At 46.9% G+C, this 26,607-nt stretch overlaps 1 protein-coding gene across 2 annotated transcripts in view; it reads left to right on the top strand.

Moving 5' to 3' along the window:
• Positions 1-21,454, top strand: part of KIF3C (kinesin family member 3C) — a 55,900-nt gene extending 34,446 nt beyond the window's left edge. The window contains exons 6-8 of one of the 2 annotated variants that reach the window (XM_005264299.4): positions 17,992-18,097; positions 18,575-18,747; positions 18,981-21,454. In XM_005264299.4, the coding sequence (XP_005264356.2) occupies positions 17,992-18,097; positions 18,575-18,747; positions 18,981-19,074 (373 nt within the window). In that variant the 3' untranslated portion in view covers positions 19,075-21,454. Of the gene's footprint in view, positions 1-17,988; positions 18,098-18,574; positions 18,748-18,980 lie in introns of both variants that reach the window. The other variant, NM_002254.8, reaches the window with a different exon arrangement.
• Positions 21,455-26,607: the final 5,153 nt, after the last annotated feature.

Raw genomic sequence — 26,607 nt, 5'->3', positions numbered from 1 at the left:
AAAGTTTGCTTTCTTCCACCAGGTGTTCATGCCTGTAATCCCAGCTACTCTGGTGGCTGAGGCAGAAAGATTGCTTGAGCCCAGGCTATTGTAAGCTAGGATCATGCCACTGTACTCTAGCCTGGGCGACAGAATGAGACTTCATCTCTAAAATTTTTTTTTAATTTACTTTCTTCCTTTTAAGTAACCCTTACTTCAATTGCAAACAATGTTTTCATTATGGAAAATTTAAATAAACATAGAAAGAATGAAAATTCCACCTAGCTAGTAGTAGTGTTTACTAACAATTGGATTTGAACTTTCCACCATCTTTTCTTTTTTTATACATAAACTTTTCTCCTTTTGAGGGTTAAAATGGTTTGTATATGCTGAAAAAAACCATTCACAGATTTTAAAAATTAAAATAGCTACCTTAAAACAGCATACTTTAATTAATTTTTACAGTAATACCTATAATAACTTTTTTTTTTTTTGAGGCAGTCTCGCTCTGTCACCCAGGCTGGAGTGCAGTGGCGCTATCTCAGCTCACTGCAAGCTCCACCTCCCGGGTTCACGCCATTCTCCTGCCTCAGCCTCCCGAGTAGCTGGGACTACAGGTGCCTGCCACCACACCCGGCTAATTTTTTGTAGTTTTAGTAAAGACAGGGTTTCACCATGTTAGCCAGGATGGTCTTGATCTCCTGACCTCGTGATCTGCCCGCCCCGGCCTCCCAAAGTGCTGGGATTACAGGCACAAGCCACTGCGTCGGGCCCCTGTAGTAACTTTTTAAAAAGAAAGAAGCTTGCTAGAATACAGATCTTTCTTTATTGTGTAAATGTTGCCAATTTCTAGCCCATTGTCTTTTTTACCCTGATCTTCTGCTTTAAAGGCAAGTTTGTGCTCTTTATTAAAGGATTCTAATGCTCTCTGCTCTTGTTGCCCAGGCTGGAGTGCAATGGCACAATCTCGGCTCATTTCAACCTCCACCTCCCGGATTCAAGCAATTCTCCTGCCTCAGCCTCCCCAGTAGCTGGGATTACAGGCGCCCACTACCACACTTGGTTAAATTTTTTTGTATTTTTAGTAGAGACAGGGTTTCACCATGTTGGCCAGGCTGGTCTTGAACTCCTGATCTCAGGTGATCCGCCTACCTCGGCCTCCCGAAGTGCTGGGATACAGGCGTGAGCCACTGCGCCCAGCCTTCTTTCTTTTTTTTTTTGAGATGGAGTCTCGCTCTGTCCCCAGGCTAGAGTGCAGTGGCGCGATCTCGGCTCACTGCAACCTCCACCTCCCAGACTCATGTAATTCTCTAGCTTCAGCCTCCCGAGTAGCTAGGATTACAGGTGCACACCACGACACCCAGCCAAGTTTTTGTTTTTGTTTTTGAGATGGAGTCTAGCTCTGTCGTCAGGCTGGAGTGCAGTGGCGCGATCTTGGCTCACTGCAACCTCCGCCTCCCGGGTTCAAGTGATTCTACTGCCTCAGCCTCCTGAGTAACCGGGATTACAGGCATGTGCCTCCACGCCCAGCTAATTTTTGTATTTTTAGTAGGGACTGGGTTTCACCATGTTGGCCAGGATGGTCTCGAACTCCTGACCTCGTGATCTGCCCACCTCGCCCACCAAAATGCTGGGATTACAGGCGTGAGCCACCATGCCCGGCCTAATTTTTATATTTTTAGTAGAGATGGGGTTTTACCATGTTGGCCAGGCTGGTCTCGAACTCCTGATCTCAAGTGATCCGCCCACCTTGGCCTCCCAAAGTGCTGGGATTATAGGCACAAGCCACCTCACCTGGCCCCCACCTTTCCTCTCTGTGATTCTTCCCACTGTCCTTGAGCAGGGAAAGTTGTGAAAAGAGAGTCAGTTCTTTGCCAGTGGAAACCTGGAAAACTCTGATTTTTCCTCAGAAGCTATTTGCTTTATTTTTATTTATTTTATTTTATTTTATTTATTTTTTGATACGGAATCTCGCTATGTCACCCAGACTGTAGTGCAGTGGCATGATCTCAGCTCACTGCAACCTCTGCCTCCCAGGCTGAAGCAATTCTCCTGCCTCAGCCTCCTGAGTAGCTGGGATTACAGGCACCCACCACCATGCCCGGCTAATTTGTTTGTATTTTTGGTAGAGACGGAGTTTCGCCATGTTGGCTAGGCTGGTTTTGAACTCCTGACCTCAAGTGATCTTCCTACCTCGGCCTTCCAAAGTGCTAGGATTTACAGGCGTGAGCCACCGTGCACATCCAAAAACTATTTGCTTTAAATTTACCTCCATAGTGTTAAGTTGTATTATTTTGCTGTTGTTGTTGAGATGGAGTCTCGTCTGTCACCCAGGCTGCGGTGCACTGGCACCATGATAGCTCGCTGTGTTGCCTGGGCTGGTCTTGAACTCCTGGCTTCACGCTAATCCTCCCACCTCAGCTTCCCAAAGTGCTGGGATTACAGGCAGGAGCCACTGCATGCAACTGGCCTTAAATTTTATTCTTTTTTTTTTTTTTTTTTTTTTTTGAGATATTCTCACTCTGTCACCCAGGCTGGAGTGCGGTGACACTATCTTGGCTCACTGCACCCTCCGCCTCCTGGGTTCAAGCAATTCTCATGCCTCAGCCTCCTAAGTAGCTGGGATTACAGGCTTGAGCCACCGAACCTGGCCTTAGTTTTATCCTTTGTAAAGGGACTACCCAGACCAAGAATTATTGAACCCAGGCTGCAGCTGTGAAAGGACAGGATTTTTAACTACCAGACTATAAAGTAGAGCAGCTTTTATAGTGTTTTCTTTTCCAAGATTCTTTGCAAAGAATTAGTCCTAACACACACTCATTATGCCCATTAATTTAAATCTGCATATAGTTGCTTCCACTTTGCATTTGTAAGTTTGTGTTGGCAACTCTTCTAAATGAATACCAATTGGACAGTGTTCCCTTAAATTTTTTTTTTTTTTGAGATAGAGTTTTGCTCTTGTTGCCCAAGCTGGAGTGCAATGGTGTGATCTCGGTTCACTGCAACCTCCACCTCCCGGGTTCAAGTGATTCTCCTGCCTCAGCCTCCTGAGTAGCTGGGATTACAGGTGCCCGCCACCACGCCTGGCTAATTTTTGCATTTTTAGAAGAGGCGGGGTTTCGCCATGTTGGCCAGGCTGATCTTGAACTCCTGACCTCAGGTGATCCACTCACCTCAGCCTCCCAAAGTGCTGGGATTACAGGCGTGAGCCACAGTGCCCGGCCTCCCTGAAATTCTTATATTGAAAATTTAAAGCTATAAATAGATTTACAAGGTTTTCCGAAATTATGGTTAAGTATATTCATAACTTAACCATGCTATTTTATGCAGAATATGTTTGTACCTGTTCAGAATAAAGACCAAGTACAACATATGTGAAGAAAATATGCAAATACATCTGGGTAGGGTAAAAGGCAATTATAGGCTGGGTACAGTGGCTCATGCCTGTAATCCCAGCACTTTAGGAGACTGAAGCAGGTAGATGGCTTGAGCCTAGGCATTTGAAACCAGCCTGGGCAACATAGCGAGGCCCCATCTCTACAAAAAAATACAAAAAGTTAGCCAGGCATTAGCACATGCCTGTACTCCCAGCTACTTGGGAGGCTGAGGTGGGAGGATTGCTTGAACCTAGGAGGTTGAGGCTTCACTGAGCTGTGATTATACCACTTCACTCCACCTGGCCTGGTCAACAGAGTGAGACCCTGTCTCAAAAAAAAAAAAAAAAAGGCAATTATGATTTACCAATGTTCTCTACTACACTTAAATACAAATTATATGAACAGTAATTACAGAATGCTCTAATATAATAAAGAATTCCAAGAAATAAATTACTTTAAAACAGTTATTAAGAAATATCAGGTAGCTGTGCACGGTGGATCACACCTGTAATCCCAGCTACTTGGGAGGCTGAGGCAGGGGAATTGCTTGAACCTGGGAGACAGAAGTTGCAGTGAGCCGAGATCATGCCATTGCACTCCAGCCTGGGCCACAGAGCAAGATTACATATCTATGAAAAAAAAAAGAAAGAAAGAAATATCAGGTAATCATGAATATATTCTTTTCTTTTTCTTTTTCATTTTTTTGTCACTGTCCACTTTGCTATGTCTGATGACTGCAATTTGCAGTATTTAATATTTATTTCAGAACTTTAAAAAATACAAAAATAGAAAAGGCAAGTAAAAAATGGTTCTAGGATTTTTTTTTTTTTTAGATAGAATTTTGCTGTTGTTGCCCATGCTAAAGTGCAATTGCGCAATCTTGGCTCACCCCTACCTCTGCCTCCCAGGTTCAAGTGATTCTCTTGCCTCCGCCTCCCGAGTAGCTGGGATTACAGGCATGTGCCACCACGCCTGGCAAATTTTGTAATTTTAGTAGAGACGGGGTTTCTCCATCTCTACTCTCCATCTCCAGCCTGTTGGTCAGGCTGGTCTCGAACTCCCGACCTCAGGTGATCCGCCCACCTCGGCCTCCCAAAATGCTAGTATTACAGGCGTGAGCCACCGTGCCCGGCCAGTTCTAGGATTTTTTATATGAAACAAGTTTTTAAAATTACTCTTTTTAAAGCCAAGATAAGATGGTTAGAATAAAGTAAAAACAATTCCACGGTAATTGAAATCCCAGTTGTGATTCTGACTTAGCAGAGAGAGTCTGGTGGGGCACAGTAGGGGGCAGGGAGCTGCTGGCCTGGATCTCTGAGGTCATCTGCCCCATGTCCCTCATTTCACCACAGAAGGTTGAGGGCAGGGAGGTCCTTGAACAAGGCAGCTTTCCTCATTTCAGGAACCATGGGGTCTGAGGCTGCAGCTGTGAAGCAAACTTCTCCACTCCCCAGAGAAAAGGTCCTTTCTTCAGCATTGGATCCCACCACTTGCCGCATCACTTAATTAGGGCTAAAAAACAAACAGAAAAGTTATTTCTCTCCAAAGCATATTTAACTAATTAGGGCGTTGTTCCATTTGCTCAACTCAAGTGTGGAATATTTTGCTTTATTTCGGCCTGTGGTATTCTGGGGATGAGAACACTAAGAGCTGCTCGAAGTGAGAGGAAAAAACATTGTTTGTAAGAAATTACCTGAAGTCATGCTGTCCCATTAGAAAGCTTCTGTTCAAAAAACATTCTTCCTCCACCTACTCCAGCTCTAAGCATCCATCCCACCCTCTGACCAGTGCCTCTCTCTCAAACAAGGAGTTGTCAGGCAGCTCTTGAGAAATATTCCTAATCAACTTATTTTGGAAGTTTAGCCCTTTCTTTTTTTTCTCTACCATCTCCATGTAGCCATTATTTGATATAAAATAATATAAGGTGAGGTGCCTTCCACAGTCATAATCTTGTATAATATTAAAGTTACTTTAAAAAACATTTTTGCACTGGCGCGGTGGCTCACGCCTGTAATCCCAGCACTTTGGGAGGCCAAGGCGGGCAGATCACCTGAGGTCGGGAGTTCGAGACCAGCCTGACCAACATGGAGAAACCCCGTCTCTACTAAAAATACAAAATTAGCCAGGTGTGGTGGCATATGCCTGTAATTCCAGCTACTTGGGAGGCTGAGGCAGGAGAATCGCTTGAACCCAGGAGGCAGAGGTTGCAGTGAGGCAAGATCGTGCTATTGCACTCCAGCCTGGGCAACAAGAGTGAAACTCCATCTCAAAAAAAAAAAATTTTTTTTTGCAACTAGGTCTAGCAATAAATATTTTACAAGTACAACCTTTTATTTTTAGTTTCTCATAATAGACCGTCGCCTAAGCTGGAGTGCAATGGCGTGATCTCAGCTCACTGCAACCTCCGCCTCCCAGGCTCAAGCGATTCTCCTGCCTCAGCCTCCCGAGTAGCTGGGATTATAGGCATGTGCCACCACGCCCAGCTAATTTTTGTATTTTTAGTAGAGACAGGGTTTCTCCATGTTGGCCAGGCTGGTCTCGAACTCCTGACCTCAGGTGATCCGCCTGTCTCGGCATCCCAAAGTCCTGGGATTATAGGCATGAGCCACTGTGCCCAACCTAGATTTTTAAATTTTATTTAATTTTTATCTATTTTTTTGAGACAGGGTCTCACTCTGTCACCCAGGCTAGGGTGCAATGGCATCATCTTGGCTCACTGAAACCTCTGCCTCCCAGGCTCAAGCAATCCTCCCACCTCAGCCCCCTGAGTAGCTGGGACCACAGGTACATGCCACGAGGCCCAGTTAATTTAATTTTTTGAGACAAGGTCTCACTCTGTTGCCCAGTGAGTGCAGTGGCACAATCTTGGCTCACCTTCTTGGCTCAAGTGATCCTCCCACCTCAGCCTCCTGGGTAGCTGGGACCTCAGGCTTGTGCCACCATGCCTGACTAATTTTTTATTTATTTTAGAGATGAGGTCTCACTACATTGCCCAGGCTGGTCTTGAACTCCTGGATTCAAGTGATACCCCCATCTCAGCCTCCCAAAGTATTGAGATTACAGGCGTGAGCCACCACACCTGGCCTAGACTTTAATTGTGTTTAGGTAAAATTGTCTTCTTCTTCTTTTTTTTTTTTTTAAATAGAGACAGGGTTTCACTATGTTGCCCAGGCTGGTCTCCAACTCCTGATGTCAAGCAGTTCACCCACCTCAGCCTGGGATTACAGGTGTGAGCCAGCCCCACAAAATTGTCTTCTAAAGGGTGATATATGTGACAGCATCCATACCCTGTGGTTTATGGTACACAAAATTCCATTGCAACTTTAGCCCTTTGACCTTTGTAACCCCAGCCACCCTAGATTCTTTTCTTTGTTTCTTTTCTTTCTTTTTTTGAGACAGGGTCTCACTGTGTTGCCCAGGCTGGAATGCAGTGGCACAATCATGGCTCACTACAGCCTTGACCTTCTGGGCTCAAGTGATCCTCCTGCTTCAACTTCCCGAGTAGCTTAGACCACAGTACAGACATGGACCACCATACCCAGCTAATTTGCTTTCATTTTTAGTAGAGACGGGGGTCTCACTATGTTGCCTAGGCTGGTCTCGAACTCCTGAGCTCAAGTGAACTCCTCCCAAAGTGCTGGGTTACAAGCGTAAGCCACTGTGCCCAGCCCCTAGATTCTTTTTAAAGGCATCATGGTGCAGTAGAGAGAGACTAGACTTTGGATTTAGAACATTCTGAATTTGGCCGGGTGTGGTGGCCCACGCCTGTAATCCCAGCACTTTGGGAGGCTGAGACGGGCAGATAACCTGAGGTCAGGAGTTTGAGGCCAGCCTGGCCAACATGGTGAAACCCCGTCTCTACTAAAAATACAAAAACTAGCCGCGTGTGGTAGTGGGCGCCTATAATCCCAGCTACCCAGAGGCTGAGGTAGGAGGAGAATCGCTTGAACCTGGGAGGCGGGGGTTGCAGTGAGCTGAGATCGCACCACTGCACTCCAGCCTGAGCAACAGAGCGAGACTCAAAAAAAAAAAAAAAAAAAAAAAAGAACATTCTGAATTCTAGCCCCTGCTCTGCCACTTACTAGTGGCCTTGAGTAAGTTTTTTTCTGTTGTTTTTTTGTTTTTTGAGATGGAGTCTCACTCTGTCGCCCAGGCTGGAGTACAGTGGCGTGATCTCAGCTCACTGCAACCCCCACTCCTGGGTTCAAGCGATTCTTCCGCCTCAGCCTCCAGAGTAGCTGGGATTACAGGCATACGCCACCACACCTGGCTAATTTTTGTATTTTTAGTAGAGATGGGGTTTCAACATGTTGGCCAGGCTGGTCTCAAACCCCTGACCTCAGGTTATCCACCCGCCTCAGCCTCCCAAACTGCTAGGATTACAGGCGTGAGCCACCATGCGCCTGGCCTTGAGTAAGTTTTTTTAACCTCTCTGAACCCAAATTTTTTCATCTGTAAAGTGGGGATAACAATATGTACCTTGCAGGACTGTCAAGGTTGAAATGAAATAATGTAAGGTTCCAGGCCTGTGCCTGGTGCGGAGGAGATGATCAATGAAGAGTTGCACTCACACTGATAAACCAATATTCTAATTATGGGGACTCTGGAGAAACCGGCCTGCTCTATCCCTTAGAAGTGCCCTACAAGGGCAGTTTGACTTTATGTTTTTGTTTTAGATGTTGATTTTTTGTTAAACTGCCTCTGGGTTTATTTTATTTATTTATTTATTTTCATTTTTATTTTTTTGAGACAGAGTTTTACTCTGTCACCCGGGCTGGAGTACAGTGGCACGATCTTGGCTCACTGCAACCTCCACCTCACAGGTTCAAGCGATTCTTGTGCCTCAGCCTCCTGAGTAGCTGGGATTATAGGGGTGCACCACCATGCCCAGCTAATTTTTGTATTTTAGTAGAGGCAGGGTTTCAATGTTGGCCAGGCTGGTCTTGAACTCCTGACCTCAGGTAATCCATCTGCCTCGGCCTCCCAAAAGTGCTGGGCTTACAGGTGTAAGCCACCTCACCCAGGCTCTGCCTCTGGGTTTAAAGAGAGAGTGTTTCTTGCTATAAATAGAATCAGGAAAGAAAGTTAAACTGGTTTTGTCACAGAGGCAAAGTTCACCCCAGTAAGAACATTCCTAGCTCTGCGTTGAGTCCCTGGATTTCTTCACAGACCTGTGAGAATTGAAGACAGTGTGAAGCAGGGAGCAGTTGCAGCTTCCCAGGCGGGTCGGGGACAGCATGGAGGGGAAATGGGAAGGCTGAGAGTTCAGACAAGCAGGGCAGTGGAACAAGGTGGACAGATGGCCTACCAGGAGAAAGCAGCCAGATCGAAGAGGAAAGCCTGACTGTCAGTGTTGAATGCACAGGAAGGAACTAGAAGGAAACACACCCGATGATGTCGGATGCCTGCTTTCAGAACAAGAGGGGGAGGCCAGCCGCGGTGGCTCACACCTGTAATCCCAGCACTTTGGGAGGCCAAGGCAGGTGGATCACTTCAGGCCAGGAGTTCGAGACCAGCCTGGCCAACATGGCAAAACCCCGTCTCTACTAAAAATACAAAAATTAGCTAGATGTGATGGCTGTCACCTGTAATCCCAGCTACTTGAATCTGGGAGGCAGAGGTTGCAGTGTGCCAAGATCTTGCCACGGCACTCCAGCCTGGGTGACAGAGTGAGGAAGGGAGGGAGAGAGGGAGAGCAGGAAGGAAGGAGAGGAAGGAGAGGGGAAAGGAAGTGATCAAACAGCCAGGAAAGAGAATGATGTCAACCCCTGAGATGGAGCTGAGAGATGACTTTTTAATATTAAAGGGGAAAAAATGATAGTAGCCAATTACGGAGGGAGGGTCCTAGGAGAACGCGTCAGATGTACTGCACGCAGGATAACTGTGGTTGTGGGGCCCTGCTGGGAGGGGTGCTTAAAGGGAGGGGTGCATAAACGCAGACCCAGGCCTCAGCTCCGGGCTGCCAAAACCTGCTTCCTACAGAGGATCAATCATGGAAAGTAGGCCTGGGGCAGAAGAGGGAGCCGATGGGAAGGTCGGTGCCCCAATTACAGACTCCCTTCCCCCAACCCTTCTCTCCCACATGCCACCCAGAATAGCCCTGGCATCTTTATTGGGTCAGGCTGCCAATTTGCGCTGATCCTCTGCTCACCCAGCCCTGTCCCTCTGTCCTGTTCCCAGCGCCTGAGCTTTCAAAGGCACTCACTGGCCCATCTGTTCTGGCCCAGTGTCCTCCTGAGAGATGATACTAGAGTCCTTGGGGGGAACCCCCACCCTGTGGCATAGAATGAGGTGTTGCCCGATTCAAAAATTTCACAAAATAATTTTTTTTTTTTTTTGAGACTCAGACTCACTCTGTCGCCCAGGCTGAAATGCAGTGGCACGATCTCAGCTCACTGAAACCTCCATCTCCCAGGTTCAAGCAATTCTCTGAGTAACCTCCTCAGTAGCTGGGGTTACAGGTATGTGCCATGCTCAGCTAATTTTTGTATTTTTGGTAGAGAGGGGGTTTTACCAAATTGGCCAGGCTGGTCTTGAACTCCTGACCTCAGGTGATCCACCTGTCTTGTCCTCCTAAAGTGTTGGGATTACAGGTGTGAGCCACTGTGCCCAGCCACAAAATAATAATAATTTTTTTTTTTTGAGACAGAGTCTCGCTCTGTCACCCAGGCTGGAATGCAGTGGCATGATCTCGGTTCACTCAACCTCCGCCTCCCAGGTTGAAGTGATTCTCTCACCTCAGCATCCTGAATAGCTGGGACTACAGGTGCATGCTACCACACCCAGCTAATTTTTATATTTTTAGTAGAGTCCGGGTTTCACCATGTTGGCCAGGCTGGTCTTGAACTCCTGACCTCAGGTAATCCACCTGCCTCAGCCTCCCAAAGTGTGGGATTACAGGCGTGCCGTGAGCCACCACACCTGGCCAATAATAATTTTAAAAGGAGTATATGGGAAGATTCAGATTCCTAGTCTCTCCCTAATTGCATGACCTTGGACACAAAAGGCGCTGCACCTCCCTGAGCCTCAGTCTTCTTTGCTCTATCCACACCTCCGGAGGTTGTTAAGTTCAGATGAACTGTGTAGAAGCACGTTGTAAATAAGTTGCCATTTTCCTAATTTTCCCACTCCCCTCTTAGAGGGGATGGCTCTGCATTTCCAGCAGCGTCTGCAGCAGGACTGTCTCCTTGCTGCCACTGCCACTGAGGCTGCCTCTCCTCACGGGCACGCCTCCCGGCATCCTGTAAGCTCAGCTGCAGACCCAGCTGGGGCTTCTGGAGCCTTATCTTTCCTTGTTTTCATCTATAGAGAGGGTCAGCAGGGACCACTAATGGGGTACGGCACCTTTTTATATGCATCATAAACTAAACCACAAGAATGTTATTTCCCATCACTGCCAGCTGCAGAAGGCAGCCATTGTTCTGTGGGCCCCTGCACAGCTTGTTCTGCTGTTCAAGGACAGAATGTCCTAAGCTTTGAGTTACTCGGCCTGTTTCTTCTCCTCTTCCAACTGTCGCCTTTTGACTTTTATCCTTGCTCATTTCATTTGTATCCCCACTTGAAATTAGCAAGTGGAATTGAAAATAAATCATAATCACAGCTGCCATGTGTTAAGCCCTGTGGCAGGTGTACTGTGCTAAGTGCTTGTCTTGTTTAATCTCAGAAATTCTGTATGATAGGGATGATATATCTGAGGCTCAGAGATAGTAAGCCACTTCCCCAAGTAAAAGAGCTTGAAGGGGCAGAGCCAGCATTCAAACCCAGGTCTGCCTTACTCCAAAACCTGTGTTCTTTTATTTTTTTAAATGGAAGTAGCTTTCTTGTTTTCTTTCCTTTCTTTTTTCTGTTTGTTTTTGTTCAGGGTAGTAAAAGTATTTTAATAATCCATCACACTCACCAAATTGCTGAAAGTGAATAGCACTCAATGAGCTCTCTAGGATGTAGACCAATGGAAACTTCCATAAGTGTAATCACTTTGAAAAGCAATTGACAATATCAAGTAAAGCTGAAAATCCACATACCCTGCAATGCAACACTTCCATTCCTGGATCCATACCCCAGGGAAAATGTTAAATATAAGCATGAAAATACCTTTAGAAATGTTCACAGCAGCATTCTTTACAAAACTGGATGGCAGGCATACAGATACATATTTCCTGTAGATGTTTGAACTAATTAATTAGTATAAAGTTATACATATTCATTGTAAAAAAATTTTTGAGATATTGCAGAAAGGCAGAGAGAAAATAAAAATCACCCATAATCACACAATTCAAAGATTATAACTGTCAACATTTTGTTGAATATCTAGACTTTTTCCTAAGCAGACACACACACACGCATTTCCTTAAAACTGGCCAGGTATGCTGGCTTATGCCTGTAATCCCAACACTTGGGGACACTGAGGCTGGGGGATCACTTGAGGCCAGGAGTTTGAGACCAGCCTGGACAACATAGCGAGACCCCATCTCTACAAAAAATTTAAAAATACAAACAAAAACTTCATCTTTTTATTTGCTCTTTTATTAATATATTGTGGCAGTCTTTCTGCATGTATGTAGAGCCACACACAAATTTTTTTGTTTTGTTTTGTTTTGTTTTTTTTTTTTGAGACTGAGTCTCACTCTGTTGTCCAGGCTGGAGTGTAGTGGCGTGATGTTGGCTCACTACAACCTCCGCCTCCCGGGTTCAAGCGATTCTCCAGTCTCAGCCTCCCGAGTAGCTGGGACTACAGGTGTGTGCCAGCGTGCCTGGCTAATTTTTTTTTTTTTGTATTTTTTTTAGTAGAGATGGGGTTTCACCGTGTTAGCCAGGATGGTCTCAATCTCCTGACCTCGTGATCCACCCACCTTGGCCTCCCAAAGTGCTGGGATTACAGGCGTGAGCCGCTGCACCCGGCCGAGCCACATAAAAATTTTATTGACTACATAAAGTTCCTTCATAGGACTGAATAGTAATGTAACTGGGTCCTAATAATTTAACCAACCCCATTTTGGTTGTTTCTAATTTTTTGCAGTTGTAAATAATGCTTCAGGGCCAGGCACAGTGGCTCATACTTAAAGTCCCAGCACTTTGGGAGGCTGAGGTGGAAGGATAGCTTGAGGCAAGGAGTTCAAAACCAGCCTGGGCAACAGAGTGAGACCCTGTCAAAAAATAACAAAATTAGCCAGGTGTGGTGGCACCTGCCTGTAGACCTATCTACTCAGGAGGCTGAGGCAGGAAGACTATTTGAGCCCAGGAATTTGAGGCTGCAGTGAGCTATGATGTTGCCATCACACTCCAGCTTGGGTGACAGAGCAAGACTCTGTCTATAGAAAAAAAAAAGGCTTCAGCAAATACCCCTGCATGTAAATTTTTCTCTTTACCTCTGATTATTTGCTTAGTGAAGTTCCTAGGAGGAGAAATTTGGGTCAAAGAATATGCATTTAAAATTTTATTATTTATTTTTTTTTAAGACTGAGTCTCACTCTGTTGTCCAGGCTGGAGTACAGCAGTGTGATCTCAGCTCACTGCAACTTCTGCCTCCCAGGTTCAAGTGATTCTTATGCCTCAGCTTCCCAAGTAGCTGGGACTACAGGTGTGAGCCACCATGCCCGGCTAATTTTTGTATTTTCTGTAGAGACGGGGTTTCACCATGTTGGCTAGGCTGGTCTCGAACTCCTGACCTCAGGTGATCCACCCACCTCGGCCTCCCAAAGTGCTGGGATTATAGGCATGAGCCACTGCGCCTGGCCATAAACTTTTTTTTTTTTTAAATTAGAGCTGGGATCTTCGCTCTGTAGCCCAGGTTGGAGTGCAGTGACTATTCATTGGCACAATCATAGCACGCTACAGCCTCAGACTCCTGGCCTCAGATGATCCTCCCACCTCGGCCTCCCAAAGCGTGGGGATTACAAGCATGAGTCTCTGAGGCTGGCCTGTTTGTTCATTGTTTAAATAACAGCTCTGTTGAGATGTAGTTGACCTATCATAAGTTCACCATTTTAAAGTGTACAATTCAGTGGATTTTTTTTTAGCTCTACTGCTTAATAATGTAGTGGATTTTAGTATATTCAGAGTTATACAACCGTCACCACTATCTAATTCCAGAACATTTTCTTTCTTTTTCTTTTTTTTGAGATGGAGTCTCGCTCTGTCTCCCAGGCTGGAGTGCAGTGGGGTGCGAGTCGGCTCACTGCAACCTCTGCCTCCCGGGTTCAAGCGATTCTCCTGCCTCAGCCTCCTTAATAGCTGGAATTACAGGCATGCATCACCACCCCTGGCTAATTTTTGTATTTTTGTCAGGGAAAGGGTCTCACCATGTTGGTCACGCTGGTCTCGAACTCCTGACCTCAAGTGATCTGCCCACTTTGGCCTCCCAAAGTGCTGGGTTTATAGGCATGAGCCACCACGCCCAGCCTAATTCCAGAACATTTTCATCACTCCAAAAAGAAACCCTGAACCAATTAGCAGTTACTCCTCATTCTCCTCAAAACCCCTTTCCCCAGACCTAGACAACTGCCAATCTACTTTCTGTTTCTATGGCTTTACCTATTCCAGATATTTTATGTAAATGGAATCACACAATATGTAGTCCGTTGCGACTGAGTTCTTCCACTTAGCAAAATGTTTTCAAGGTTCGTCCATGTTGGAACACTCATCAGTACTTCATTCCTTTGTATTGGTGAGTAATATTCCACTCTATGAATATACCACATTTGGTTTATCAACACATCAGTTGGTGGACATTTCGGTAATTTCCACTTTTTGGCTATTATAAATAATGCTGCTATGATCATTTGTGTACAAGTTTTCATATGAATACATGTTTTCAATTCTCTTGAGTATATGCCTAGTAGTGGAAGTGCTGGGTTATATGGTAAGTCTATGTTTAACTTTTTTTTTTACATTCTCACTAATAGTGTATGAGGGTTTCATTTTCTCTACATCCTCACCAACATGTGTTACTGTCTGTCTTTAAATTATAGTCATCCTAGTGGATCTGAACTGGTATCCATTGTGGGTTTTTTTTTTTTCTTTTGAGACAAGGTCTTAACCCTGTCACCCAGGCTGGAGTGCAGTGACATGATCACGGCTCACTGCAGCCTTGACCTCCCAGGCTCAGGTGATCCTCCCACCTCAGCCTCTCGAGTAGCTGGGATTACAGGTGTGTGCTACCATACCCTGCTAATTTTTTTTTGTATTTTTTGTAGAGACAGGGTCTTGCTATGTTGCCCAGGCTGGACTCAAATTTCTGGGCTCAAGGGATCCACATGCCTCAGCCTCCCAAAGTGGTGGGATTACAGGTGTGAGCCACCACACCCAGCCACCATTGTGGTTTTGATTTAGATTTCCCTATATGACTAATAATGTTGAACATCTTTTCATGTGCTTATCAACCATTTGTATATCTTCTGAGAAATATCTATTGAGATCCTTTGCCCTTTTTTTTTTTTGAAACGGAGTCTTGCAGAGTCTCACTCTGTCACCCAGGCTAGAGTGCAATGGCGTGATCTTGGCCTACTGCAACCTCTGCCTCCCAGGTTCAAGCAATTCTCCTGTCTCAGCCTCCCAAGTAGCTGGAATTACAGATACATGCTGCCACGCCTGGCTAATTTTTTGTATTTTACTAGAGACGGGGTTTCACCATGTTGCCCAGGCTGGTCTCAAACTCCTAAGCTCAGGCAGTCCACCTGCCTTGGGCTCCCAAAGTGCTGGGATTACAGGCATGAGCCATGGTGCCTGGCCCTGGAGTTTCAGTTCTATTTCATTAATCTATATGTTCGTCTTATGCAAGTTCTATAGTATCTTGGTTACTATAGCTTTGTAATAAGTTTTGTTTTGTTTTGTTTTGTTTTGTTTTGTTTTGTTTTGTTTTGTTTTTGAGATGGAGTCTCACTCTGTCACCCAGGCTGGAGTGCAGTAGCCAGATCTCAGCTCACTGCAACCTCTGCCTCCCGGGTTCAAGCAATTCTCCTGCCTCAGCCTCCTGAGTAGCTGGGACTACAGGTGTGTGCCACCACACCCAGCTAGTTTTTGTATTTTTAGTAAAGACAGGGTTTCACCATGTTGGCCAGGCTGGTCTCAAACTCCTGACCTCAGGTGATCCGCCTGCCTCGGCCTCCCAAAGCGCTGGGATTACAGGCATGAGCCACCACACCTGGCGCTTTGTAATAAGTTTTGAAACTGAGAAATGTGAGGCTTCTAACTTTGTTCCTTTTCATTTCAAGCCTGAGTTTTTAACCATTTTATTATGCTAACTCCTATGAAGAAAAATAGGCTGGGTGGAGTGGCTCATGCCTATAATCCCAGCACTTTGGGAGGCCGAGGCAGGAGGATTACCTGAGGTCAGGAGTTTGAGACCAGCCTGGCCAAGATGGTGAAACCCCCTGTCTCTACTAAAAGTTAAAAATTACCGGCCAGGCGCAGTGGCCTATGTCTGTAATCCCAGAACTTTGGGAGGCTGAGGTGGGCGGATCATGAGGTCAGGAGATCAAGACCATCCTGGCCAACATGGTGAAACCCCGTCTCTACTAAAAATACAAAAATTAGCTGGATGTGGTGGCATGCGCCTGTAATACCAGCTATTCGGGAGGCTGAGGCAGGAGAATCGCTTGAACCAGGGGGTCGGAAGTTGCAGTGAGCCGAGGTTGTGCCACAGCACTCCAGCCTGGTGACAGCGAGACTCCGTTTCCAAAAAAAAAAAAAAAAAACAAAACAGAAGAAACAACACACAATGAAGGCTGGGTGACAGTGAGACTCTGACTCAAAAAAAAAAAAAACAGCCAGGTGCAGTGATTCACGTCTGTAATCCCAGTACTTTGGGAGGCCAAGGCAGGGAGATCACTTGAGGTCAGGAGTTCGAGACCAGCCAACATGGTGAAACCCTGTCCTCTACTGAAAATACAAAAATTAGCCGGGTGTGGTGGTGTTTGCCTGTAATCTCAGCTGCTCAGGAGGCTGAGGCACAAGAATCACTTGAACTCAGGAGGCGGAGGTTGCAGTGAACTGAGATCGCACCACTGCACTCCAGCCTGGGTGACAGAGCAAGACTTTGAAAAAAAAAAAGTATATAAAGCTACAAGCTAAAGTGAGACTGGATTTCATTTCAGCCTTCAATCAGTCCTTTCTACTGCAGAAACAATTTAAAGCAACAGGAGTGAAGAAATATTAATATGTACCTCTTTGTGTTACACAGTAGTCTCCACTTATCCATGGGGGATACTTTTTTTGTTTTGTTTTTTGTTTGTTTGTTTTTGAGATGGAGTTTTGCTCTTGTTGCCCAGGCTGGAGTGCAATGGCGTGATCTTGGCTCACCACAACCTCCGCCTCCCAGGTTCAAGCAATTCTCCTGCCTCACTCTCCTGAGTAGATGGGATTACAGGCATGCACCACCATGCCCAGCTAATTTTTTGTATTTTTAGTAGAGATAGGGTGTCTTCATGTTGGTCAGGCTGGTCTCGAACTACTGACCTCAGGTGATCTACCCGTCTCGGCCTCCCAAAGTGCTGGGATTACAGGTGTGAGCCACTGCACCTGGCAGGGGATACGTTTTAAGACCTCTAGTGGATGCCTGAAACTGCAGCTAGTACCAAACCCTATATATGCTATGAGGTTTATTTTAAATTTTATTAATTTTTTTAAATTGTTGTGGGTACATAGCAGGTGTATATGTTTGTGGGGTACATGAGATGTATAAGACAAAACAATTATAACAATATACTCTAATAAGGCTGGGTGCAGTGGCTGATGCCTATAATCTCAGATCTTTGGGAGGCCAAGGCAGGCAGATCACTTGAGGTCAGGAGTTCGAGACCAGCTTGGCCAACGTGGTAAAACCCCATCTCTACTAAAAATACAAAAATTAGCCGGGTGTTAGGCCAGGCACGGTGGCTCACGCCTGTAATTCCAGTACATCGGGAGGTTGAGGTGGGTGGATCACCTGAGGTCGGGAGTTCGAGACCAGCCTGACCAACATGGAGAAACCCTGTCTCTACTAAAAATACAAAAAATTAGCCAGGCGTGGTGCCACATGCCTATAATCCAAGCTACTCGGGAGGCTGAGACAGAAGAATCACTTGAACCCGGGAGGCAGAGGTTGTGGTGAGCCAAGATCATGCCATTGCACTCCAGCATGGGCAATAAGAGCAAAACTTCGTCTCAAAAAAAGAAAAAATAAAATAAAGTAAAATTAGCCAGGTGTGGTGGTGCATGCCTGTAATCCCAGCTACTCGGGAGGCTGACGCAGGAGAATTGCTTGAACCTGGGAGGTGGAGGCTGCAGCGAGCTGAGATTGTGCCACTGCACTGCAGCGTGGGTGACAGAGTGAGACTCCATCTCAAAACAACAACAAAAACACAATATACTCTAATAGAAGTGATGCAGGTGTGTCTGTCTCTCGAAACATCTGATTGTACTGTACTTGCCTATTTTCAGACCACAGTAACTGAGACTGTGGAAAGCGAAACCACGGATGAGGGGGACAACTGCACTAGCTTCAGTTGTCAAGCTGTATTAGAGCAAGGAGAAGAAAATTCCAGAACTTGCAGTCTGCAGGGCCTCCTAGCTACCTGAATGATATTTAGGTCCTCATGATGTCATTTGCTGTTTGTGTTCCACAGAAATCCTTTCTAATATAGCCTCTTTCCTACAGCAGTAGCAGCCAGATGAAGAAGCGGCCAACATCTGCAGTGGGCTACAAGAGGCCTATCAGCCAGTATGCTCGGGTTGCCATGGCAATGGGGTCCCACCCCAGGTACAGGGTAAGAAGCGGAGAGGGGAGAAAGAGCCTACGGGAGGGAGGCCGGGCGAGGTGTCTCACACCTGTAATCCCAGCACTGTGGGAGGCCGAGGCAGGTGGATCACCTGAGGTCAGGAGTTCGAGACCAGCCTGGTTAACATGGTGAACCCCTGTCTCTACTAAAAATACAAAAATTAGCCAGGCGTGGTGATGGGTGCCTATAGTCCCAGCTACTTGGGAGGCTGAGGCAGGAGAATTGCTTGAACCTGGGAGGTGGAGGTTGCAGTGAGCCGAGATTGCACCACTGCACTCCAGCCTGGGCAACAGAGTGAGACTCCATCTCAGAAGAAAAAAAAAAAAGAGCCTATGGGAGGGGATGCTCACAGCCTCTGCTTCCCCTAACCACCTCATCAGCCCTGCTACACCCAAGACTGGCTGAGTCCCTAGAAGGCACAGTGACTGGGCACTGTTCAAGCCTGGCATGATATTCCCACCACAGGCTGAAAACATAATGTTTCTGGAGTTGGATGTGTCCCCTCCAGCTGTCTTTGAGATGGAATTCTCTCACGACCAAGAACAAGACCCTCGTGCGCTACACATGGAGAGGCTCATGCGATTGGACAGCTTTCTGGAAAGACCTTCCACGTCTAAAGTCCGAAAGTCCAGATCCTGGTCAGTACCTCCATGGTCCCAGGCAGCACTGGACCCAGGAGGCAGGGGAACTGCAGGCGCTGGGTGATGCTAAAGAGGGTTTTGCTGGTACCCGAAGGGCAGGAAGGGCAAGGGGTGACTGGGGATGTCAGAAGGATTCCTGCAGCAACAGGATGGGGCAAAGGAGAGGACCCACTTTCCTGTTTCCTGTATTTCCCTAACCTCCCCTTTCGCCTGCGTCATCTCCCCTGCAGGTGCCAGAGTCCTCAGCGGCCTCCACCTTCCACCACACATGCCTCCCTGGCCTCTGCTTCTCTGCGCCCTGCAACAGTGGCGGACCATGAGTGACAACCATCACGTCAGGCTGCCCATCCAATAGACTCCTGGGATGGGGCAGCCAACCCTGGCTCATCTCATCTGCCGCTTGGTGCGTGTGCGTGTGCGTGCATGTGCGTGTGCGTGTGTGCAGGGGTGAGAATCTGGCAGATGGTGCCTCTGCCTGCTCTTCTTCGCCTCCTTTATTTAATTCATGTTATTTATTCGCGGAGCTCTGTTCGTGTTGGGGAGATGCCCTCGCCTGAGCCGTCTGGGCCTACCGTGGTCACTGCGTAGCCTCTTTTTCTTCTGACTTGAGAGCTCCCCCAGTCAGATCTCAGGCTTGTCCCCCTGTCAGCTGCCTCCAGAAGGGAAGGTAGCCAGTGCCTGAGAAGACAGTCCCTTTTCTACCCACCGCACTCCATAACCTCCATCTTCTCCCACACTGATGGCGAGCAGCCCCTGAGCACTTTCTGGGACTGGGAGACTGCTTGGTGTTCCCTGAGGACAAGAGACATCCTGACAGTGTTGGGCATCTGCTCCCCGTGGACACAGCCCCACTCTCCACTTTCTGAGCCTCAGACAACCTCATTCAGCCTCTTGGGCTCCTTTTCAAGGACATTAATAACCTCACCAACATAGCTCATGCCCTTCAGCTTTGACAAGAACTCACAGCTTCCCAAACTCTGCTTTCTGCCCACCTTGGATGGGAACTGTGGACCAAGCAATTACCATCGCCTTGGAACCTGCAGGAAATGGAACAGCAATTGAGACAACTTGAACAGTCATCAACGGAAGTCCCTCCACTGGATTCCTTTGTTTCTGTCCCCTCCGAGGAGTCATTTTGGTCGACAGGCTCTCAAGGCAACTCCCCATTTTCAAGAGGCTGCTCCTGCCTGCTTCGATCATTTCTCCCTGCAGCTGCCTAGACCCCGTTCACAGTGGGAGGAGTCAATGTCATTCTACCCCTCGCTAAACGAAGATATTAACATCTATTGCTTTTTCCCTTCATCTGTCACAGGAAACAGAAGCCCAGGCACAATCTTTTCCAGCTTTGCCTGTTACCCCTGTTTCTGAATTGCATCTTTAAGGTATTATTTTGTTGAAAATAGATCCTTTATTCACTAGTTACGCAAATTGGTTCCTAGGGGGATACTCCTTACCTTCCTTTGTGATGGCCCAAAATGTCTCTAGGTATCTCAAGTGATAAGTAAATTTCTACAAAAAAAAATGGTTAATGTTCATTGACTGGCTTTTTAAGTGTATATTTTGGAGGACGGGTGAAGAGGTCATAACGAAAGCAAGCGAGTGAATTAGGATTTCAAAGTGCCCTAATAGTGTGAGTCTCCAGTTCCTAGAATATGAAGAGTGCTGTCGTTGGGGTGAAACCATGAGACTGACAGATCTGCCTGAAATGGGGGGTGTGGGAGGTGGTGGCGGGGGTTATTCTCTTTCCTTCAGGAAATGAACCCTTCTTACATCATTCAAGTTCTGCTCTGAGGATCAAGCTTGGGTCTGATTTAACTCAGCGACACTGTCATTTCTGCTTCATTACTGGACTAGAGGGTTGAGCCACCCACTTGCCATTTGCTCCTGTCCTTCCAGGAAATCACAATTTTCATCAGAGCCCAAGAGATTATTTGAGACTCAGGATTCAGATCAGAGGTTCGACTGTGGCTGGGACAGGAGTTGTGTGTAGAAATTCACCAGGTGGCCTGAGCGCAGGGGGACCTCCAGGGCTGCGTTGAGCAGCCTCTCCCACTGACCTCTTTCTCGTTTGTGGACAAAGCAGCACGTATCACCTCATTCATCACTTGGACACATCGCCTTTGCATTGTCTTGTCACACCTCCCTCACAGTCTTATAGCACAATATACCCAAATCAGCCCCCCCAGTCCGAGGGCTGGGCCCGAGGTATGGTCGGAGGAGGAGCTCCTGCCTGCGGTTTTGTGTATGTGTGTATGTGTGTGCGTGTTTGTGTGCGTGTTTACCTCCACAGGGGACACTCTACACTCAGTGTAAGATCTGCTGGGAACAGGGCCACCAGGAGTGGCTGGATCTCAGTCTCTCTGTCTCTCTTTCTCTCCTTTTCCTTTTGGTGTATCAAATATTTGATTGACAAAGTAAGGGCCTTGATTAGGACCAAATTCTCGTGTGTTGCTATGGTCTTTATTTAGGACAACAATTAACAATGCAGTGGCCCATTCTTGTCACTCTACACATATGACTATACGGGACATATGTAATATATAAATATATATATAAAACATTCCCCTCTGTCCCCTTGGCTTCGGATGGAGGCCTTTCTGTTGAGCTGAAATGCACCTGCAGCTGGGTGCTGCCAGCAGCTTGCAGGCCCCAGCCCTGTTCCAATCAATGCAGTTGACAATAAAGGAATGAGTATCGTCACGGAGTTGACTGCCTTACTTCTCTTCCCTTTGTTTCTTCCTACTTTAACTCCCTCCCTTTTTCATTTTCTCCTTTCTCTCTCTTCCATGTTTTTCCAGTAGGGGCTCAAGAGTATATCAGCCAGACGTGGTGGCTCACACCTGTAATCCCAGCACTTTGGGAGGCCCAGGCAGGCAGATCACCTGAGGTCAGGAGTTTGAGACCACCCTGGCCAACATGGTGAAACCCCATCTCTACTACATATACAAAAATTAGCCTGGTGTGGTGGCACACACCTGTAATCTCAGCTACTCTGGAGGCTGAGGCAGGAGAATCATTTGAACCCTGGAGGCAGAGCTTGTAGTGAGCTGAGATTGTGCCACTGCACTCTAGCCTGGGCGACAGAGCAAGACTCCATCCCAAAAAATAAAAATAAAAAGAGCATATGGATTCCAGCTGCAGTTATCAGCACTTTGGAAAAGAACTGGTTGCTTAATAAATGGAGATCTGTTTGCCCAATAGGGCTGGGGAGCAGGTCCCAGGCACTAGTCGGAAGTCTGTGCCGGGACTATGGCAGCAGCTGTTTGTGTTCTAGGCTGGTCGTCCCCAACCAGTTAATTCTGAGCAACTGGCAGATTTCAGAACTGCCTCAGTGGTGTCCAGATTAGCTGTCACTGTCATACTCCCTATGCCCTCATTGATCCACCAAAGGGGTTAAAGGAGGAAAGAATGCATGTAAACCACACAGATGTGCCTGGGCCTGATGGGTGCTGAATTACAATAACTTGAAAGTCTAGGCCGAGTGCGGTGGCTCACGCCTGTAATCCCAGCACTTTGGGAGGTTGAGGCAGGTGGATCCCTGAGGTCAGGAGTTCGAGACCAGCCTGGCCAACATGGTGAAACTCTGTCTTTACTAAAAATACAAAAATTAGCCAGGCATGGTGGTGCACACCTGTAGTCCCAGCTACTCGGGAGGCTGAGGCAGGAGAATCGCTTGAACACAGGAGGCAGAAGTTGAGGTGAGCTGAGATTGTGGCATTGCACTCCAGCCTAGCCAACAAGAGTGAAACTGTCTCGAAAAGAAAAGAAAGACTAGCTTCCCTTATCCTCTCTTCTCAGGACCTATTTTCCCTCCTGCTGGGTTCTAGCCACTAGCTCTCTGTAGTGTGGAGGTCTTACAGGAAATGAAAATTAGTTATTGCTAAAAAACAAACAAACACAAAGCTTTGAACCCTGACTCCTAGGGGAGCACTGAAGTTTGTCTGCTGCAAAAATCAGGCAGTAAACCAACTATTTTGGCACTGACAGTTTTCTTAGAGGGATGTCCTGTCTCTGTGCCAGGCTCTCACCCTGATCTCTAACAGGGTTCCAGGGCTGGAGTGGCTCTGCTGCTTCGGGGGCGTTTGCTAGGTATTGTGTAAGGTGCTTTACACACACAGACACACACACTCACACTCATTTCATTCTCCTAGTGAGAGGATTATGGTGACTGATTGAGAGATGGAAGTAAGCGAAATTAACTAACTGGCTAAAGACCCAGTACGTGATGAAGCTGGACTTGCAGACTCTAGAACCCATGTTTTGCCCTCTTTGCCACACTACTTCTCTAGCCCATGGAAAACTGACAGGCACTATACATGGTTCCCAAGTGGTGACAGCCAGGGACAGAGGACAGAGTGATTTATCTCAATGGGCAAGGTTCGGCATCAGACCAGATCTGCAGACCCTTGCCTAGAGGTCCTATTGTAAAACCACTCATTCAGGACAGGCGCAGTGGCTCACACCTGTAATCCCAGCGCTTCGGGAGACCGAGGCAGGTGGATCACCTGAGGTCAGGAGTTCAAGACCAGACTGGCCAACATGGTGAAACCCCATCTCTACTAAAAATATTTTAAAAACTAGCCGGGCGCGGTGGTGGGTTCCTGTAATCCCAGCTACTCGGGAGGCTGAGGCAGGAGAATTGCTTGAACCCGGGAGACGGAGGTTGCAGTGAGCCGACATGGTGCCACTGCACTCCAGCCTTGGCAACAGAGTGAGACTCCGTCTCAAAAAAAAACAACAACAACAACACAAAACCGCTCATTCCTCCATTAGCAGTGGGATCACCTGTACAGCAGGTGGTTTTCTTGAGCCCCACAGAAACAGCCAGGGGGTAGAAATTCTCCCTTGACCCAGGCCTCTGGTCTTTTGTTGATAGACAGTTCATTGATAAGGAAACTGCCATGTTTCACTTCTTCTTCCAAAACTGGACACCTGCTCTCCACAGAGTTACTTCTTTTTGTTCTCAGAACCTAGAGCTGGGGCGTAGAAAACACTACCCTTTGTCCTTGTCCCCTTGGCGTAGGATGGATGGGGTGAGTGTGAGTTAGAACTCTTGGCTACCACTAAAAAATCATTTAAGCTGGCCTGACCCAGAGGCGTGCTGTGGCACACAAAGGCAAGGAAAGACCCAGGCCTCAGGAATGACCTAGTACCAGGGACTCAAACACCACAAAGACCCTCTCTGTTTCACCACACTTCCTTCTGTGTGGGGTTCACACTCTGTCCTCAGCTGCTCCAGTTCATGATGTAGGAAACACATCTGCTAGCAGCTCTCTGGGTACATGATCCAGCCATCCGGAGAGAGTTAGCATCTTGGTCCCAATGCCAAATTTATGGGAATGGGACTCTGATTTAGCAGTTTGGGTCAGGTAGGTGGGAATATGATGTACGAACAAAACCTCCAAGAGTCCCAAGGCTGTAACCATGCAGATGTGGGGGAGGGATGAGGTAGAAATAAAAGTATTTCTCAAAAAAGATGATGGAAGTAGGAGTGGAGTCGAATGGGCTCTGGGCAGCCAGCACAACAGATGTTCTTTGCCAGTGTGTCCATCACCCAGGAGGATGGCTTTAGAAAATTTTAATCTGGAGCCGGGCATGGTGGCACACGCCTGAAATCCCAGCTACTCAGGAGGCTAAAGGCAGGAGGATCGCTTAAGCCTGGGAATTCAAGATCAGACTGGGCAACATAACGAGACACCGTCTCAAAAAAAGAGAGAAAAAGTGAAAAAGAAAGAAAATTTCAATCTAGGCTCATTTTATTACCCCGGCCATTTTTCTTTTTCCTTTTCTTTTTTTTTTTTTTTGAAACAAGAGTCTTGCTCTGTCACCCAGGCTGGTGTGCAGTGGTGCTATCTCGGCTCACTGCAACCTCCCCCTCCCAGGTTCAAGCAATTCTCCTGCCTCAGCCTCCCGAGTAGCTAGGATCACAGGCACCCACCACCACATCCAGCTAATTTTTGTATTTTTTCAGTAGAGACAGAGTTTTACCACCTTAGCCAGGCTGGTCTTGAACTCCTGACCTCAGGTGAGCCACCTGCCTCAGCCTCTCAAAGTGCTGGGATTACAGGCGTGAGCCACAGCGCCCGGTCTACCCTGGCCATTTTTCTTACAATGTGGTCCAAGAGTTACCTGGATCAAAATTACTATCCTTGGCTGGGCACAGTAGCTCACACTTGTAATCCCAGCACTTTGGGAGGCCAAGGCAGGCGGATCACCTGAGATCAGGAGTTCGAGACCAGCCTGGATAACATGGTGAAATCCCGGTCTCTATTAAAAATACAAAAATTAGACGGACGTGGTGGTGGGCACCTGTAATCCCAGCTACAGGCAGGGGAATAGCTTGCATCCAGGAGGCGGAGGTTGCAGTGAGCCTAGATTGTGCCACTGCACTCCAGCTTGGGTGACAAGGGTGAAACTCCGTCTCAAAAAAAAAAAAAAAATTACCATCCTCAGATTCTGCTTGATCAGGTCCAGGATAAACCCACTGGTAGACACTACAGGTTGCCTTTCCAATATCCATTCTTCCCTTCCTCCTTGCTTAAAAGATAATTTTGTTCAAGAAGGGCAGTGTGCCCAGGTAAAAATATTCATATTCCCAGACTCTTACAGCAATGGGTTGCCATGTGACATGGTTTTGGCTAGGAGATGTAAGTAGAAATCTGCTAGGGATTTCTGGAAAAGTTTTTGCTTTCCTGATATAGATACCATCCTTTTCTCCTCTTCTGTTTTCTTCTTCCTGCCTGGAACTCAAACGCACCTCTTGCAAGTGCATTCATTCATTCATTAGACAAGTATTTATTAAGCACTCGTTACCTATATGTTCCAGGTAATGTTCTAAGTGCTGGGAATACAGCAATGAACAGAAAAGACAATCCGTGGCTGGGTGTGGTGACTCATGTCTGTAATCCCAGCACTTTGGGAGGCTTAGGCAGGTGGATCACTTGAGGCTAGCAGTTCAAGACCAGCTTAGCCAACATGACGAAACATCATCCCTACTAAAAATACCAAAAAAATTAGCTGGGCATGGTGGTGTGCACCTGTAATCCCAGCTACTTTGGAGAGCTGAGGCAGGAGAATCACTTGAACCCGGGAGGCAGAGGTTGCAGTGAGCCAAGATCGCTGCATTCTAGCCTGGGTGACAGAGTGAGACTGTCTCAAAAAAAAAAAAAAAAAAAGTCCCTGTCGTCATGGTGCCTACATTCTAGGGTTAGGAGAAAGACTTTAATCAAGAAAACATATTGCATGTTGGATAATGATAAGTGCTTTTTTTTTTCTTTTGTGACAGAGTCTTGCTCTGTCACCCCGGCTGGAGTGCAGTAGTGCAATCATAGCTCACTGCAACCTTGAACTTAAATGAGCACCTCCAGATGACTTCTTTTTTTTTCTTTCTCTTTCTTTCTTTTTTTTCTCCTTTTTTTTTTTTTTTTTTTTTTTTTTTTGAGATGTAGTCTCACTCTATTGCCCAGGCTGGAGTGCAGTGTGCGGTCTTGGCTCACTCCAACCTCCACCTCCTGGGTTCAAGCAATTCTCCTGCCTCAGCCTCCCGGGTAGCTGGGATTACAGGCTCACCTCACCACACCTGGCTAATTTTTGTATTTTTAGTAGAGATGGGGTTTCACCATATTGGCCAGGCTGGTCTCGAACTCCTGACTTTATGAGGAGCCTCAGCCTCCCGGGTAGCTGGGATTACAGGCATGAGCCACACGCCTGGCTGGTGATTCCTTCCTTTCTTTCTTTCTTTTTTTTTTTTGAGATAGAGTTTCGCTCTTGTTGCACAGGCTGGAGTGTAGTGGTAAGATCTTGGCTCACTGCAACCTCCACTTCCTCAGTTCAAGGGATTCTCCTGCCTCAGCCTCC

The sequence above is a fragment of the Homo sapiens genome, chromosome 2, assembly GCF_000001405.40.
Source record: "Homo sapiens chromosome 2, GRCh38.p14 Primary Assembly".
NCBI lineage: Eukaryota > Metazoa > Chordata > Mammalia > Primates > Hominidae > Homo > Homo sapiens.
The sequence above is the reverse complement of the archived record's forward strand: the minus strand, read 5'-3'. Positions and strand labels throughout refer to the sequence as shown.